This window comes from Homo sapiens, chromosome 7 (genome assembly GCF_000001405.40).
Source record: "Homo sapiens chromosome 7, GRCh38.p14 Primary Assembly".
Lineage (NCBI taxonomy): Eukaryota > Metazoa > Chordata > Mammalia > Primates > Hominidae > Homo > Homo sapiens.
This window is the reverse complement of record NC_000007.14, coordinates 154440411-154454793: the sequence shown is the minus strand read 5'-3', so window position 1 is coordinate 154454793 and position 14383 is coordinate 154440411. Positions and strand designations below refer to the sequence as shown.

The 14383-nt window shown below is 40.6% G+C and overlaps 1 protein-coding gene across 14 annotated transcripts in view; it reads right to left on the bottom strand.

The window, feature by feature from the left end:
* The window catches only part of DPP6 (dipeptidyl peptidase like 6), a 1146153-nt gene that overhangs the window by 439492 nt on the left and 692278 nt on the right, over positions 1-14383 (bottom strand). For all 14 annotated transcript variants that reach the window (NR_157195.2, NR_157196.2, XM_047419951.1 and 11 more), the window contains one exon: positions 8466-8580. Coding sequence is in view for 12 of the 14 variants with exons in the window: in XM_047419951.1 (XP_047275907.1) it covers positions 8466-8580 (115 nt within the window). In the remaining 2 variants the exon portion in view is untranslated. The remainder of the gene's footprint in view (positions 1-8465; positions 8581-14383) is intronic.

Sequence of the window (14383 nt, the reverse complement as noted above, 5' to 3'; positions counted from 1 at the left end):
CACACAATGCCCTTTCTTTCCTTCCAACGATAAGATGACTTACAGTTTTCATCAGATTCTGAAACTGGTTAGGACACTGGTGTAAACGGTATGAGAAGTTAGAGTTCAGTCTCAAATCCAGGCCCTGTGCGCTCCAGGCTCTCCCCATTGGCTACCATCCCTTTCCTTCTCCCTTAACTCTTGACCACACCTGGCCCCTCCACAACTTCCTGGCCAGACTGTCCTCTGTCCCCCGAGGGCTCATGGCTTTCCCTCTCAGTTTTCTTCCATCTCTACTGGATCTATCTTTTAAAGTCCCTAATTGCTCATTCTCCACGAAGCCTTCCAGGAATGTATCCTGTTCTCAATGGCCTCTCCCATGTTTTGGACCATCATAATGAATATCATCTGCAGCCTCTATTTATAGCACCCAGTCTCGATTAGTATTAACAAGTTAACTTTGGGCAGAAACATTAACAGTGGTAGCATCGGCAGCAGCCAAAACAACTCTGTGTTTCATGATCAGAGTAGACACCATCCCCAATCCAGTCAGTCCGCTGCAGATGGGTGTGAGCAGGCACGGAGGAGCCCAGGACTCACAGAGCAGATGCCCCAGGGCAAATGAACAATACCAGAACCCACTCAAGCCACCTGTGCTTCCCATGATGAAATGGGTTGGGCCATGGTCAGTGTTAGTAGATGGAATATAACAAGATTGAATTTGTGGAATGAATTTAATATAGGAGCCCTAACAGAGAGAAAATGCCCAAAAGATACGGAGCAAGCCATCTATTTCTACAAGACAAAAAAAAATTAGGAGGTATGCATTACTTTTTATGATACACACAAAAGCTATTAAATGACTGTTAAGCTATTTTGCAATTTTCATTGAGATTATGTGGGACTTTATGATAAGATAATCCAATATAGGTTAAAAATTGGGTAGCAGTACAATCTAAAATACAACTATGAATCTCACAAACATATAGAACAAAAGCAGGCATAAAAGTAGACATACCAGATGATTACATTTATGCCATAAATGCAAAGAATATAAAAACTCATAATACTACTCTGTGATGTCAGAAATGAGGTTGCCCTTGAGAGGATTAATGATAGGAAGGGCCTGGGGGGCTTTCCGGATGCTGGCTGCATTCTGCTTTTTTGGCCTGGATGCTGATTACAGAATCAAGTTTGGTTTTAAAATTCATCAAAATTCAACAATAGCTTACTCACATGTGTTTATATTTATATATTTAATATCTATATAATATTTATGTTAAATATATAATATATATCCTATATGTATATCCTTCTTCAATAAAATGTTTTGAAATTATTTGTTCAAGAATTTTAAAAAGATAAGGTGAGGGTTGGCAATGCGGTCACAGACATTAAACAGTGATGACATTTTAATTCCGTAAAAGTAATCTCTATGTTACGTTTCTACCCAAAAGACTGACGAGTCTTGTGTTCTGATAACCTGTGCTTGGCCTTAACCCAGAACCTCCATTCACTATGACTTTGAATTATTCAAGGCTTCTCATTGATGTACCACCTAAAAGTGTTCTAGTGTTTCCGGCATAAACCACTGTCCACCTGCTCTAATGTGAGATTCCATAAAAGCCAATTGTCAGGGATGTTTTCATGCAAATCCGATCCTGCTGGAGTTTCCGACCCCCACGTCAGCGATTGTGGCACCGGAGAAGGTCACGGTGTTTCCATCAGAATGCGGGAACTGTAGCTGCTAACAAAAGGCATACGCTGTGCATGGCCTATTGTAGACAGATACATATTTAATATTGAAAATAAAAAATGTAACGTTGAGCCTATTATTCCAAAGAGAAGAAATTTAGAAAAGAGCATGGACCAGCAAGGGAGATATGAATGACAACATTGAAAGGGACATATTCTCACTTGGTAAATCCCTTTGGAACTAAGATCACCTTGAACACTTTTAATTTGATTTCTAAAACATCAATTGTGCATAACTGGTGATAATTAGACTGTACTCCAGGACAAGATGCCTTGTTGTTCAGAGTGATTACCATGAGGCCCTTCCAGGTCTGCGTCATCAGGAGGGCACTCCACCATGCGCATGAGATTCTTCTCACAGGGGTGGCAAGGGGCCCCTGGGTACCAGGAACCACTTTCACAAAACGACTGAATCAAGTGAGTTCAGAATGGATTTTCTAATTAAGTAGAAAGCAGATACTGTACTCTGAGTTGCAATAAACCAGAATACAAGACTGGTAGTACTTGAAAAATACTATTTTTTTAAAAAAGCACATATTACAATTTCTAACTAAATCTACCAAAATGGAAGCAATGTTGGGTAGGAACGCACTCAACACTGTGTGCAAACATATGCGAAGTGTGACGGTTACGACTTGGATTCTCCACTGTTGAAGACTGACTGTCATCTTTCACTTTCACCGGTGGAAGCCACTCCTGCCTTGGCGAGGATCTCAGCCCTCTAGGTCAGCATTTCCACTATCTACACAACTCAACAGGCCTCCACCACACCCTGCCTTTGACTTTTATTTTTACTTAATGATAACACTACTGTGGAATTCTCCTTGCACATGCATTGTCTTTACGTGGACTCTAAGCTTCATGGGAAGTACTGGCATCTTCTCTTTCCACATTCTGTCTGGCACTTAGCATGGAGTTCTCAGCTCCTAGCCGGGATCATTCATGCTGGCTCTGTTGGCAGGCATTCTCTGTCGAGGTGACACTGCTCTGTACATTAGTGAATTTGACACTGCTCTGGAGCTAGTGGCAGGTTGAATGATTTGATACCTCCTCTGCCTGATGGAATTTTATGCCAAAACACAAGCCATTGCTGTATTGCAGGAGAGTGGATGCAGTCAGGCCTCGGTGCGGGAGCAGCGGTGCAACATTTGCTGTGCAGCCCTGTGGGAGAGGCCTAAACCTTGGACACCCCATCCCAGGGCAGCACAGCCCAGAGAAACAAACAGCACCCATGAAAGCCCAGCAGAACCAAAAGGTGAAGCAAGGCTCAGCTGCATGTGTATTGTGATGGAACAAGAAAAGCAAATTCCCCTCCAAAGCCTTCTCTGGAATTCAGCCATTCACTAGAGCTTCTCCAGGAGCAGTTGCCCCTGACAACTGGCCGTCAGCATGGAGGGAGAAGAGTTCCCAGCAACTGCATCCTCTGTTTACTGCAGAGGGGAGGCTGCTGTGGTTGCCTTGGCTGCAAAAGAACTGAATGTAGATGCTGGCAGGGTCAGCTGCTGTGCTGGAGGGAGGAGGCCTGCCGCCACTCCCTGTGCGTGGAGAAGACGCAGGGCTACTGCTTGCCAGGCCTGGAGTTGAGCTTGGAGGACAGGGTCCCAGGACCTGGTTCTCAACCCGCTTTGCTGCTGTGGACATTTCGGTGTAAGAAGCTCCGGGCAGCCATTTAATTCCACTTTTTTTTTTTTTTTTTTTGGTGAGACAGGCTCTTGCTCTGTTGCCAGGCTGGAGTGCAGTGGCGCGATCTCGGCTCACTGCAACCTCTGCCTCCTGGGTTCAAGCCATTCTCCTGCTCAGCCTCCTGAGTAGCTGAGATTACAGGCACCTGCCACCAAGCCCAGCTAATTTTTGTATTTTTAGTAGAGATGGGGTTTCACTGTGTTGGCCAGGCTGGTCTCGATCTCCTGACCTCGTGATCTGCCCACCTCGCCCTCCTAAAGTGCTGGGATTACAGGCATGAGCCACCACACCGGCCTTATTCCACTCTTGAGTGACACTCGTGACAGCCCTTGGACCGGGGTGACATGAAAGTTCACATGCACCTTGGAAGGTGGGAGTAACTGCAAACCCCTAGACACCACTGCTTTCAAGTCCCAAAGGGAGTGCCAGACAACCACAAGATCGAATCTGCAGTAATCATGTTCTTACACAAAGCACAATTCTGCTCAAAGAAAAGTAGAGGCAGAAACACATGCTCCACAGACCCTGAGGAAAACTTGACTTCCTCTATATTCGTTAGAAATATGTAGTGGTTAAAGTCCCCAGCTGTGTGAGATCATCAGCACCACCACCATAAAACAAAACAAGGATTGGCTTTGCAGTTCCTCCCCCAGCCCCTCTAAACCCTGGTCATCTGATTTCAGCAGGTGCAGGGATCTGTTTCCTGGGCATTGAAGCACTGGATTGAATCCTCAGCCTGATTGTTCCAGGCAACTGTGCTCCATTCACGAAGCTCGCTCACGCAGGAGACTGCAACGCTCTCTCTCCCGGAACTGCTCCTGAAGCCTCTTTGGAGTTACACAAGTTTTTAAGGCAATTTAGTATGTCTGGCACTTTTGTGGCCAGGTTACACTTTTCTCCCCCAACAGCTTTCCCATCTTTTTATCAAACTCATAGCTTAATAGAGATGAAATTCACATATCATAAAGTTCATCTTTTTAATGTATACAATTCAGTGTTTTTAAAATATATAATATTAACAGAGTCATACATGTATCACCACTATCAAATTCCAGAATAATTTCTTCATCCCCCTTCAAAGAAATTTCATACCTATTAGCAATCATTTCATTTTCTCCCTACCTCTACCTTACAGCAGCCACAAATCTATTTCCTATCTCTAGGGATCTGCCTATTCTGAAATCATACAATATGTGGCCTTTTATGCCAGCCTTCCTTCACTTAGTGTGAAGTTTCCAGGGTTAATTCATGTTACAGCATGGATCAGCTCTTCATTCCTTTTTACAGTGGAGGAGTATTCCATTGTATGGTTACATCACATTTATTTATTTATTTATTTATTTATTTATTTATTTATTTATTTATTTAGAGATGGAGTCTAGCTCTGTCACCCAGGCTGGAATGCAATGGCACGATCTCAACTCACTGCAACCTCCACCATCCCACGTTCAAGTGATTCTCCTGCCTCAGCCTCCCAAGTAGCTGGGACTACAGGCATGTGTTACCACTCCTGGCTAGTTTTTTTTTATTTTTAGTAGAGATGGGGTTTCAATGTGTTAGCCAGTATGGTCTCGGCTTCCTGACCTCATGATCCACCCTCCTTGGCCTCCCAAAGTGCTGGGATTATGGGTGTGAGCCACCGCGCCCCGCCACATCACATTTATTTATCCATTCTCTGGGAAATAGATATTTGGGTTGTTTTCACTTTTTTGGCTATTATCATTAATGCTGTTATGAACCTCATGTACTAGTTTCTATATGAACATATGTTTCCAGTTTTCGTGAGTCTATACCTAGGAGTAGAATTACTAGGTAATATGGTAACTCTGTGTTTAACTTTTAGGAGAACTACTGAACTATTTTCCACAGAGGCCACACAATTTATCTTTCTACTAGTAATGTAAGAAGGTTCCCATTTCTCTATATCCTGGGAATACTTACTATTTTCCATTTTTTGTTTGTGTTTGGTTCTTATAATCATCCTAGTGGATGTGAAGTGGTATTTCATTGTGATTTGATTTTCATTCACCCTGAGGCTGAATGATGTTGAGCATCTTTTCATATGCTTTTTGGCCATTTGTCTTTCTTTGGAGAAATGTCTCTTTAAATCCTTTGCCTATTTTTAAATTGAATTATTTGTTTTTTTGTTTGTTTGTTTTGAGAAGCAAGAGTTGTTGATATATTCTAGATACTAGACCTTTACTAGATACCTGATTTGCAAATATTTTCTCCCATTCGGTGGGTTGTCTTTTCACTTTCTTGATAGTGTTTTTGATACACAAAATGTTTTAAGTTTGATGAAGTCCAATTTATCTATTTTTTATTTGATTGCTTGCACTTTTGTTGTCACATGTAAGAAACCATTGCCTAATTCAAAGTCACAAAGATTTATCCCTATGTTTTCTTCTAAAAGTTTTATAGCTTTAGCTCTTATATTTTGGGTCTTTGGTCCACATTGAGTTCATCTTTGTATATGGTACGAGTTGGGGGTCCAACTGCACTCTTTTGCAGGTGAATATCTAGTTGTACCACCACCATTTGGTGGAAAGACTATTCTTTCCTCATTGAATGGTCTTGACTCCCTTGTCAAAAAATAATTGACTATAGATGTATGGGTTTATTTTTGAACTCTCAATTCTATTCCATTGATCCATATGTCTATACCTATCCTAGTACCATATTGTTTTGATTTCTGTAGCTTTACAGTAAGTTTTAAAATCAGGAGGTATAAGTCTTTGAATTGTTTTTTGAGATTGTTTTGACTATTATGAGTCCTTTGCATTTTCATATGAATTTCAGAATCAACTTGTAGTTTCTTTAAGAAAGAAAGAGGGATTTTGATAGAGATTTGGTTGAATCTGCACATCAGTTTAGGGAGTATTGTCATGTTAATGATATGAAGTCTTTCAATCAATTCATATAAGATATACTTCCATTTACTTAGGTCTTAATTTCTTTCCATTTTGTTTTGTAGTTTTAGTACACAAGTCTTATACTTCTTTATTTTGTTAAATTTATTCTTAAGTATCTTATTCCGTTTGAAACTATTTTAAGTGGAATCATTTTCTTAATTTTATTTTGGGATTGTTCATAGCTAGTGGCTAAAAATGCAAATGATTTTTGCATTTTGGTCTGAAATCTTCCTTCCTGCTGAACTCATTTATTATTATAATAGGTTTTTTTGTGGATTCCTTAAGATTTTCTATATACAACATTATGTCTTCTATGAATAGAGACAGGTTTACTTCTTTCTTTCCTATCTGGTTGTCCTTGTTTTTGTTTTTGTTTTTCCTACCTAATAGCCCTGGCTAGACCCTCCAATATAATGTTAAATAGCCATGCTGGGAATGAACATCCTTGTCTACCATCTCCTGGTCTTAGGCGGACTGATTTCAGTCTTCTGCTCTTCAGTATGATGCTAGCTATTGGGTTTTTCACAGATACTTGTCAAGTTGAAGATGTTTCTTCCTGTTCCTAGCTTGTTGAGTCTTTTGTCAGGAAATGGTTTTTGGATTTTGTCACATGCTTATTCTGTGTCTGTTCAGATGATCATGTGCTTTTTGCCCTTTATTCTATTAATGTAGGTATAATACATTGATTGATTTTCATACAAGCCAATTTGTTTTTCCTGGAATATATCCTATTTGGTCATGGTGTATAATCTTTCTACATGTAGTTAGATTCAGTTTGCTACTATTTTGTTGAAGAGTTTTATATCTATTTTCATAAGGGGTATTGGCATGTTGTTTCCTTGTGATATCTTTATCTAGTTTGGTATCAGGGTACAGATCGTCCTTTTCTCATTTAGATTTTGGGGTAATAGTTTAAGCCTGGATTATAATTTGCCCACATTTGTTGTACCTGTGGAAAAAGGTTTTATATTATAATATCTACTTTTTTTCATCTTAAGGTCTAATGCTTGTGTATGTATTTACTGAGAATTAAAACTTTTTTGCCTGCACAAATAGGCATCTACTATGATCATGAGAACGGATAAAACAGTTACATACTGTTTTATCTATGGCCACAATGTTTTTCTATGATAACTCCTATATTATCATTATTATTTTTTAGTTGGAGTCTTGCTCTGTTGCCCAGGCTGGAGTGCAATGGCGCAATCATGGCTCACTGCAACCTCTGCCTCCCAGGTTCAAGCGATTCTCCTGTCTCAGCCTCCTGAGTAGCTGGGATTACAGGCACTTGCCACCACGCCTGGCTAATTTTTGTATTTTTAGTAGAGACGAGGTTTCACCCTGTTGGCCAGGATGGTCTCGAACTCCTGATGTCAGGCGATCTACCCGCCTCAGTCCCCCAAAGTACTGGGATTACAGGCATAAGCCACCATGTCCAGCTCTATATTATTATTTTATAGGCAAAGGCTTTCTTCTCTCCCTAATCCTACCACTCTCTGGCTACTAAATTCCTACCATTACTCCATTAAGCCCACTTTACGTACTACCTTCTCCATGAACTTTCTTTTGAAAGATTTCTCTTTCTCCTCTCAACTCCAATAGCACTTCTCTTTGGCTTACTCAATAGTGCATGTATATATCTGTATTTGTTGTAGGTTTCTTCTGTGGATTTTAGTGTCTTTTCTTTCCTGAGAGATTTATGACACTGGTTTATACTTTATGTAATATTCAGTAGTACCTATTTAGCACCTTCTCCTTAGTTCACACTCAACATATGTTGTTTTAATAATTTTCTTAATTCACCCTTGATATAATGTCCAGGAATTCTATGAAATATATAAAATCATTATATTTATGCCACTGTCTTTAAGTTGATCAAGCATGAATAAGTGATTGTATAAGTAATTTTAATATATGCCAAGCATTTCCACGTAGTAAACAACTTTGTGAACAAATCCAAAACATATAAAATGAATTTTTAAAATTGAAACCATATTATATCATATGGCATAGTGAGAATTAGAACTTGGGAAAAATAAATTATGTAATAGGTAGTTACTTAGAAAAAAATTGCAAGGTAAAATTATGCTCTTTCTCTCTGACAGCGACTTGCTTTTCCAAGAATGAATACAGTACCTGGTGTCAGAAGTATGACCGAGGTGACGATCAAGGAGCAGATGACCAGAATGACAAGCAGTGCAATTGCTATTCCTTTCCAATTCCTCTGCGGAGGGTTACTCCCCACCAGCTCCTAAAAACAGCAACAACAAAGAAAACCCCAGTGAGTGAAATAAGGAAATAAAATAAGCCAAATAGACATATTTCATTTAAATCAAGAACCAAGATACAAAACAGTGAAAGAGGCATCTTCCCATTCTTGAAGCTACTATTAGTTCCCTTTTGTACCCTTCTGCACCCTTCTGCCTTCAGTGGCCCAAAGCCTTCGGCTGTCATTTTCCTGTACTATGGCCAAATGTTACCTCAAGAAAGAATCTGATATTATTATGTTTGCAGCTTTTGTGCAAACCTAATGCTCCTCCTCCCAATAAACCAGACTCTGCAGTATAGGGTCATCTTGGAGCTTTCCTTCTTCACAGCTAAATTCCTTACCCTCATTGAATCCAACCCAACTAGGATTAAACTTTTCAGCTCCAAGTCCTCTGTCATCATTCCCTTTTTTTTTTTTTACATCCATGTGATCAACTTCTATTTCAGGGTACCAAATTTAAATATTTATTTAGCACATGCTATGTGCCAATTTTCACCAACTTCTGCCCATCGCACTGCCTTCAGGCTTTTCTTTTTTCCATAGCTCCTCATTCAAGGTTTCAAGATTTTCCTGGTCTCTCTTCACTGGGCAACTCACCTATCCTTATTCTAGGTTTCAGTCCCTTCCAGAGAACCCTCTTGCACTGCAGCAAGAGTGGCAGGTGAGAGAGGGACTCTGGAGACACTGCTAAAGGGTGCTAAAGACTACATAAGTCTAGGAAATTCATCACGCGTACTGGCTGCTGAGACCAAGTTTTCAGTTCCGTGCAAATTAGAGGAATCATATAACTTTTAGTCGAAACTGTGATTCTTTGAGAGACAAAAAGGATCATATGAATGCTTGATAATAAGTAATAAATATAATAGTTACACATGGATTATTATTAATTATACAGGAACAAATAAGGACAGATGGTCACACTGCAAAGGGACCACTTCTGTCCATGTATAGTCTGGAGAATACACTCTTATAGTGCACATAACTGCAACTTAGTAACCAAGCCAAAATGAGGTAGAATGAAGACGGCCTTAAAAAGTAGACAATGCAATACATAAATATATTTTCATCAAAGATTAAAAGTTCTTTAGAATGTGTCAAATTGCTACAAACTAAAATAGACAATATGCAATATCATCCAAAATATTTAATATTGGCTATATTTGTTATTAAATTAAGAAAAATTCATGGGGCCATTATAGGCTTAGTAGGAAAGAGTTCTACAGTGGTTTAGAATTTCTACAAGTCTTCATATTTGCCATCTATAACTTAATTCATCTACAGAGAGTAGCTTTTTAGAACTTAAAAAGTAAGACTATCCGTGAGCAACAAAACAGCTACAGAAAGTTACACTGATTCAATCTCATTTCCTATTAGGTAGTATTTTCTTTGGGAGAAAATCACTGGCCAGGGCCAAGGATAAGTAATTAGATCTTGCTAATTCAGCAGCTTTTCATTTCACCTGAATTCAGAAAGAAAATAAGCCCTTTTCATCAAGTCTGTGACTAGCAGGAATCTTTCAGTGGTACTATTCATACAAGCAACCTAGTGCACGCAATTTCTCACAGCCCAGTTGACATTCCTCAAACGCTGTTAAGATGAAATTCCAAGGAAACCATTAAAAACAGAACATCAAGACCAAATCTTATTCATGAACCAGAATGATAAAATTAATGTTATCTTCATTAGCTCAAATAATTGATATCTTTTGAGTATTGTTTCTATTTCATTTTTAATTATTTTTATTTTTTTCCAGCCCAGGCTGGAGTACAGTGGTGCGATCTCGGCTCACTGCAAGCTCTGCCTCCCAGGTTCACGCCATTCTCCTGCCTCAGCCTCCAGAGTAGCTGGGACCACAGGCGCCCACAATCACACCTGGCTAATTTTTTTTTTTTTTGTCTATTTAGTAGAGACAGGGTTTCACCATGTTAGCCAGAATGGTCTTAATCTCCTGACCTTGCGATCCGCCCGCCTCGGCCTCCCAAAGTGCTGGGATTACAGGCGTGAGCCACCGCGCCTGGCCAAGCCTTTTTCATATTGTTTTCTATTTCTGGTCTATATGCACATTTAATTTTTAAATGGGTACAACCACAGCATAGATGCAGTTTTCAAGTTAGAATGCAAGCTAATATGTGCTTCTTTGAACATCTAATTTGGCTCCCCACATTCAGACTTCCTCCTAACTTGCAGGAGTTGAACTGTTGAAAATTCGAGTAGGATTGATTCTGCTTTCCATGAAAGTCAAGAGAAGTCACTAGGTTGTCCCCCGGCACACTGAGTGTCAGTAGTGCATTTCTCAGTAGAATGAGACATTTTTTGCCTAGCATGGTGAAAGTGAGGCTATAACATATTCCCTATTCCGTTACCACATGCATACTTTGGAGATCCATTAAAATGGAAAAGCATGTTCACAATTAACCATTTGCTCTAAGAAGAATAAGTTTTCTACCCAGTGATCCACATCCATCCATCCATCCACATTCGTCGACGTATCCATCCATCCATTCACCCATCCATCCACTCATCCATCCATCCATCTATTCATCCACATCCATCCATCCATCCACATTCATCGACATATCCATCCATCCATTCACCCATCCATCCACTCATCCATCCATCCATCTATTCATCCACATCCGTCCATCCATTCACTCATCCATCCATCCATCCATCCATCCATCCATCCATGTATCTGTCAATCCACATCCATCCATCCAACACATGTTTATCTAGGGCTTACTATGCCAGGTTAGGTTTTGAGAACCTTGAATACAAGAATGAATAAAACAGATACTGACACTGTTATCAACAGAAGTTGAATGGCTTTCATTTTTTTTTTCATTTTTTTTCTTGTAATCTAGTGCAGGAATGGGGGAAGGGACAAACAATAAGCAGATCAGCTCACTAAGAGAAGAGAAAAGCAGGACAATGGAGCTCTGGGAGCTGTTTGCATCAGAGAGATCTCTAGCAAAGTGACATCTGAATAGAACTGAAGGAATCTGCAGAGCTGACATCCGAGAAGACAATCCAGACAGAGGGAGTGGCAGGTGCCTGGCCTGTGAGACAGCATAGGCTTCAGTGGAGACAGCAAGGAGGCAGTGGCCAGAGTGGGAGAGCAAGGTGACTGTTCTGAGGAGTGGGGGCAGTAAGGGGCCAGGGAGTGCAGAGCCTGAGGGCCAGGTGCAGGCTTCGGCTTACCTCTGAGTGAAAGGGGTGTGAGCACAGCAGTGTGTAAATAAGGCTCCCACTAAGGAAGGTGGCCAGGGGAGCTGCTTAGAGGAAACACTTGCAGAAACCAGGGTGGGAACAGGAGCGGCCAACAAGGCACAGGGGTAATGGAGGTCTGTCCTGGGTGGCAGTGGTGGGTATGCTGGGAAGTAGCTGAATTCTGGGCATACAATAGAAAGATATTAGCCAACAGTGTTATTCTGAGAAGGTCATACAGACCTAGGTGTCGGGATATATTTATGTATCCCTTTTGCATGTAAAGCCCTCTCTGGGGCTCTAGCCTTCTGTTTTCAAGAAAAAAACACCCTTTGCCCCTGTGACATGGCAAGTCTGTCCTCTTTCTACCTCTAGGCCAAATCTAAGTTCTACCCTACTCCGCTCATACCCTATTGTTCCTGGAGCAAGTCATTCCCTTCCATGTCCCCTTTCCTCAACACGCCCTACAACTTTTCTGTTTCCTGGAATTTCCCTTCATCTTCATTTTGCCAGGCAAATCCCTTTGCATTCTTTACTTATCAGCTAAAATATCACCTCTGACATCGTAGGAAGTCTTGCCTGGTTTCACCGGCATTATTCTTTCCCCCTGGACACAATCACAACACTCTGTGAGTGCCTTTCTGTAACACTGTTCCACTATTAATTTATCTCTTTAATATATATTATCTTAGTATGAGTATTAATATATTATCATAATGCATGTGTCATTACCAGGGGGGCAAACTACTTAAGGACACAGTTACCTTACTGTGTTCAACGTCTCAATGTCTCGTACAAAACTTGGGACAACATAGTGCACAGAGACTGTGTTGAGTGGATGAATGGATGGATAAATGCCTTTAGAAGTAACAGAAAGGCAATCATTGATGGATGCAGAAAGCAAAGGGTTAATGCAAGCCCAGTTGCGTGAATGAGGCCATAAGCAGCAATGGATTCTGCAAGATGTAATGCAAACTGACACGCATAGTTGGCAATCCTGTCCTTTGCGACATCACTGCTGCTCATACTTATTTTTAACTCAGGCAAAAATAAAACAAACAACGAACTAAAACCAAGCTATACCTTTTCTGAGTCGTTTGGTCATTTTAAACATAAAATTCACCTTTATCCAATGTTATTATCTTAGTAACTTGTGATTACAGCTTGACTTTTGTGTGTGCCAATTTTGTATCTCGAGTGCAAGAAACCCAGATTAAGATAATAATTGTAGACACCACAATGTCTATGAACTGATTCAAGGAGGACCCTAATGCAGGCCGCTTTAATTTTCTCCCCAGCTACAGCTGATAGAGCCCACGCCTCTCTGTCAGGTTATGCATCCCTGTTCTCTCCTCTCTGTTAAAATCTGACACGTCTCATCTTGGCCTGAGCTTCGTATCTCTCATGGATTTGCCTTGCTTGCTACCTTTATCAGACTTTGTGCCTTATGAAGAGGAGAAGATTCAAATGAGAACTCTAAGTTGGAGACGATTTTTGAACGCTGCAAGGAGGAAAGGAGTGGGACACAAAAGGAACTGATTGCATAGGTGTTATCAGGATTAAATGTAAATGTATTTGAAAGCACACTATAATTTATAAAAATTATAGAAACACAAGATACTAATTTACTATTTATTGCTATCACCACCAAGTAATGTTTTAGCAACATATGATATGTAATAGAGAAAGAACTCGAAAGTGCATTGCATTTCCTACTCTTTATAAAGAAAGGGAAGGGGCTAGAGTGGTCACATTCCACTTGTGATCCTCCAACTTCTTGTTGCATCCTGAGCTTTAATGAGGGGAAATCAGAAATTTAATTTGTTTTGGGTCCTCAAAGCAGAGTGATCCAGGTTATTGGATCCATAATTGTGACTCCACAGTAAAGTGATGCATACCTCAAGCAGCCAATAACCACTGTGAATGTTCCGGGTACACATCCCATGACGTGTTTGTTTCATGTAATGTAAGTCTGGCCTTACGCAGCTAAAGGGACAGAAGGAGTCACCTCCAGCAGAAGTGAGATTGGAGGATGATTTCACGATCAACCAAAGCCTCCTCCTAAAGACACACCCCTGCAGGAGAAGACTGGAGCAATCGGGGGCAGCACAGCAGGGACCCCGGGGACAGCTGAGGTCCAGCCTTGCCAGCCACATTGGGGACAGCTGGCAATTGTGCATTCTATGTCCCTTAGCTAAAGGCAGAGGGGTCAACCAGATGGCCTTCTCACTAGGGAAGGAGGAAGTGAAGTAAATTATTTCTCTCATAACAATCTATCTTTAAACCAATCAATCTCTTCTTCTATCAGGCAGCCTGCAGAAGTATATTAAGACTAGAAGACAATGTCTCGCTCCCAAAATGGAAAGTGGCCTTTTCTACGATATAACTATACCCATGGTTAGGTAATTGATAGCTTTAAATAATTCCAGAGGATACATATAAATCAGCAGCTACTTGGGATTCACAATGCTGGCTGGAGGTGGAAACGCAAGCCAGTCTTGTTGGAGCAAGAGGACCCTAACTCATCGTCCAATAAAGCATTGCATGTACTTAGCAGGGGAAGCTTTCCCACTCCCCGAGA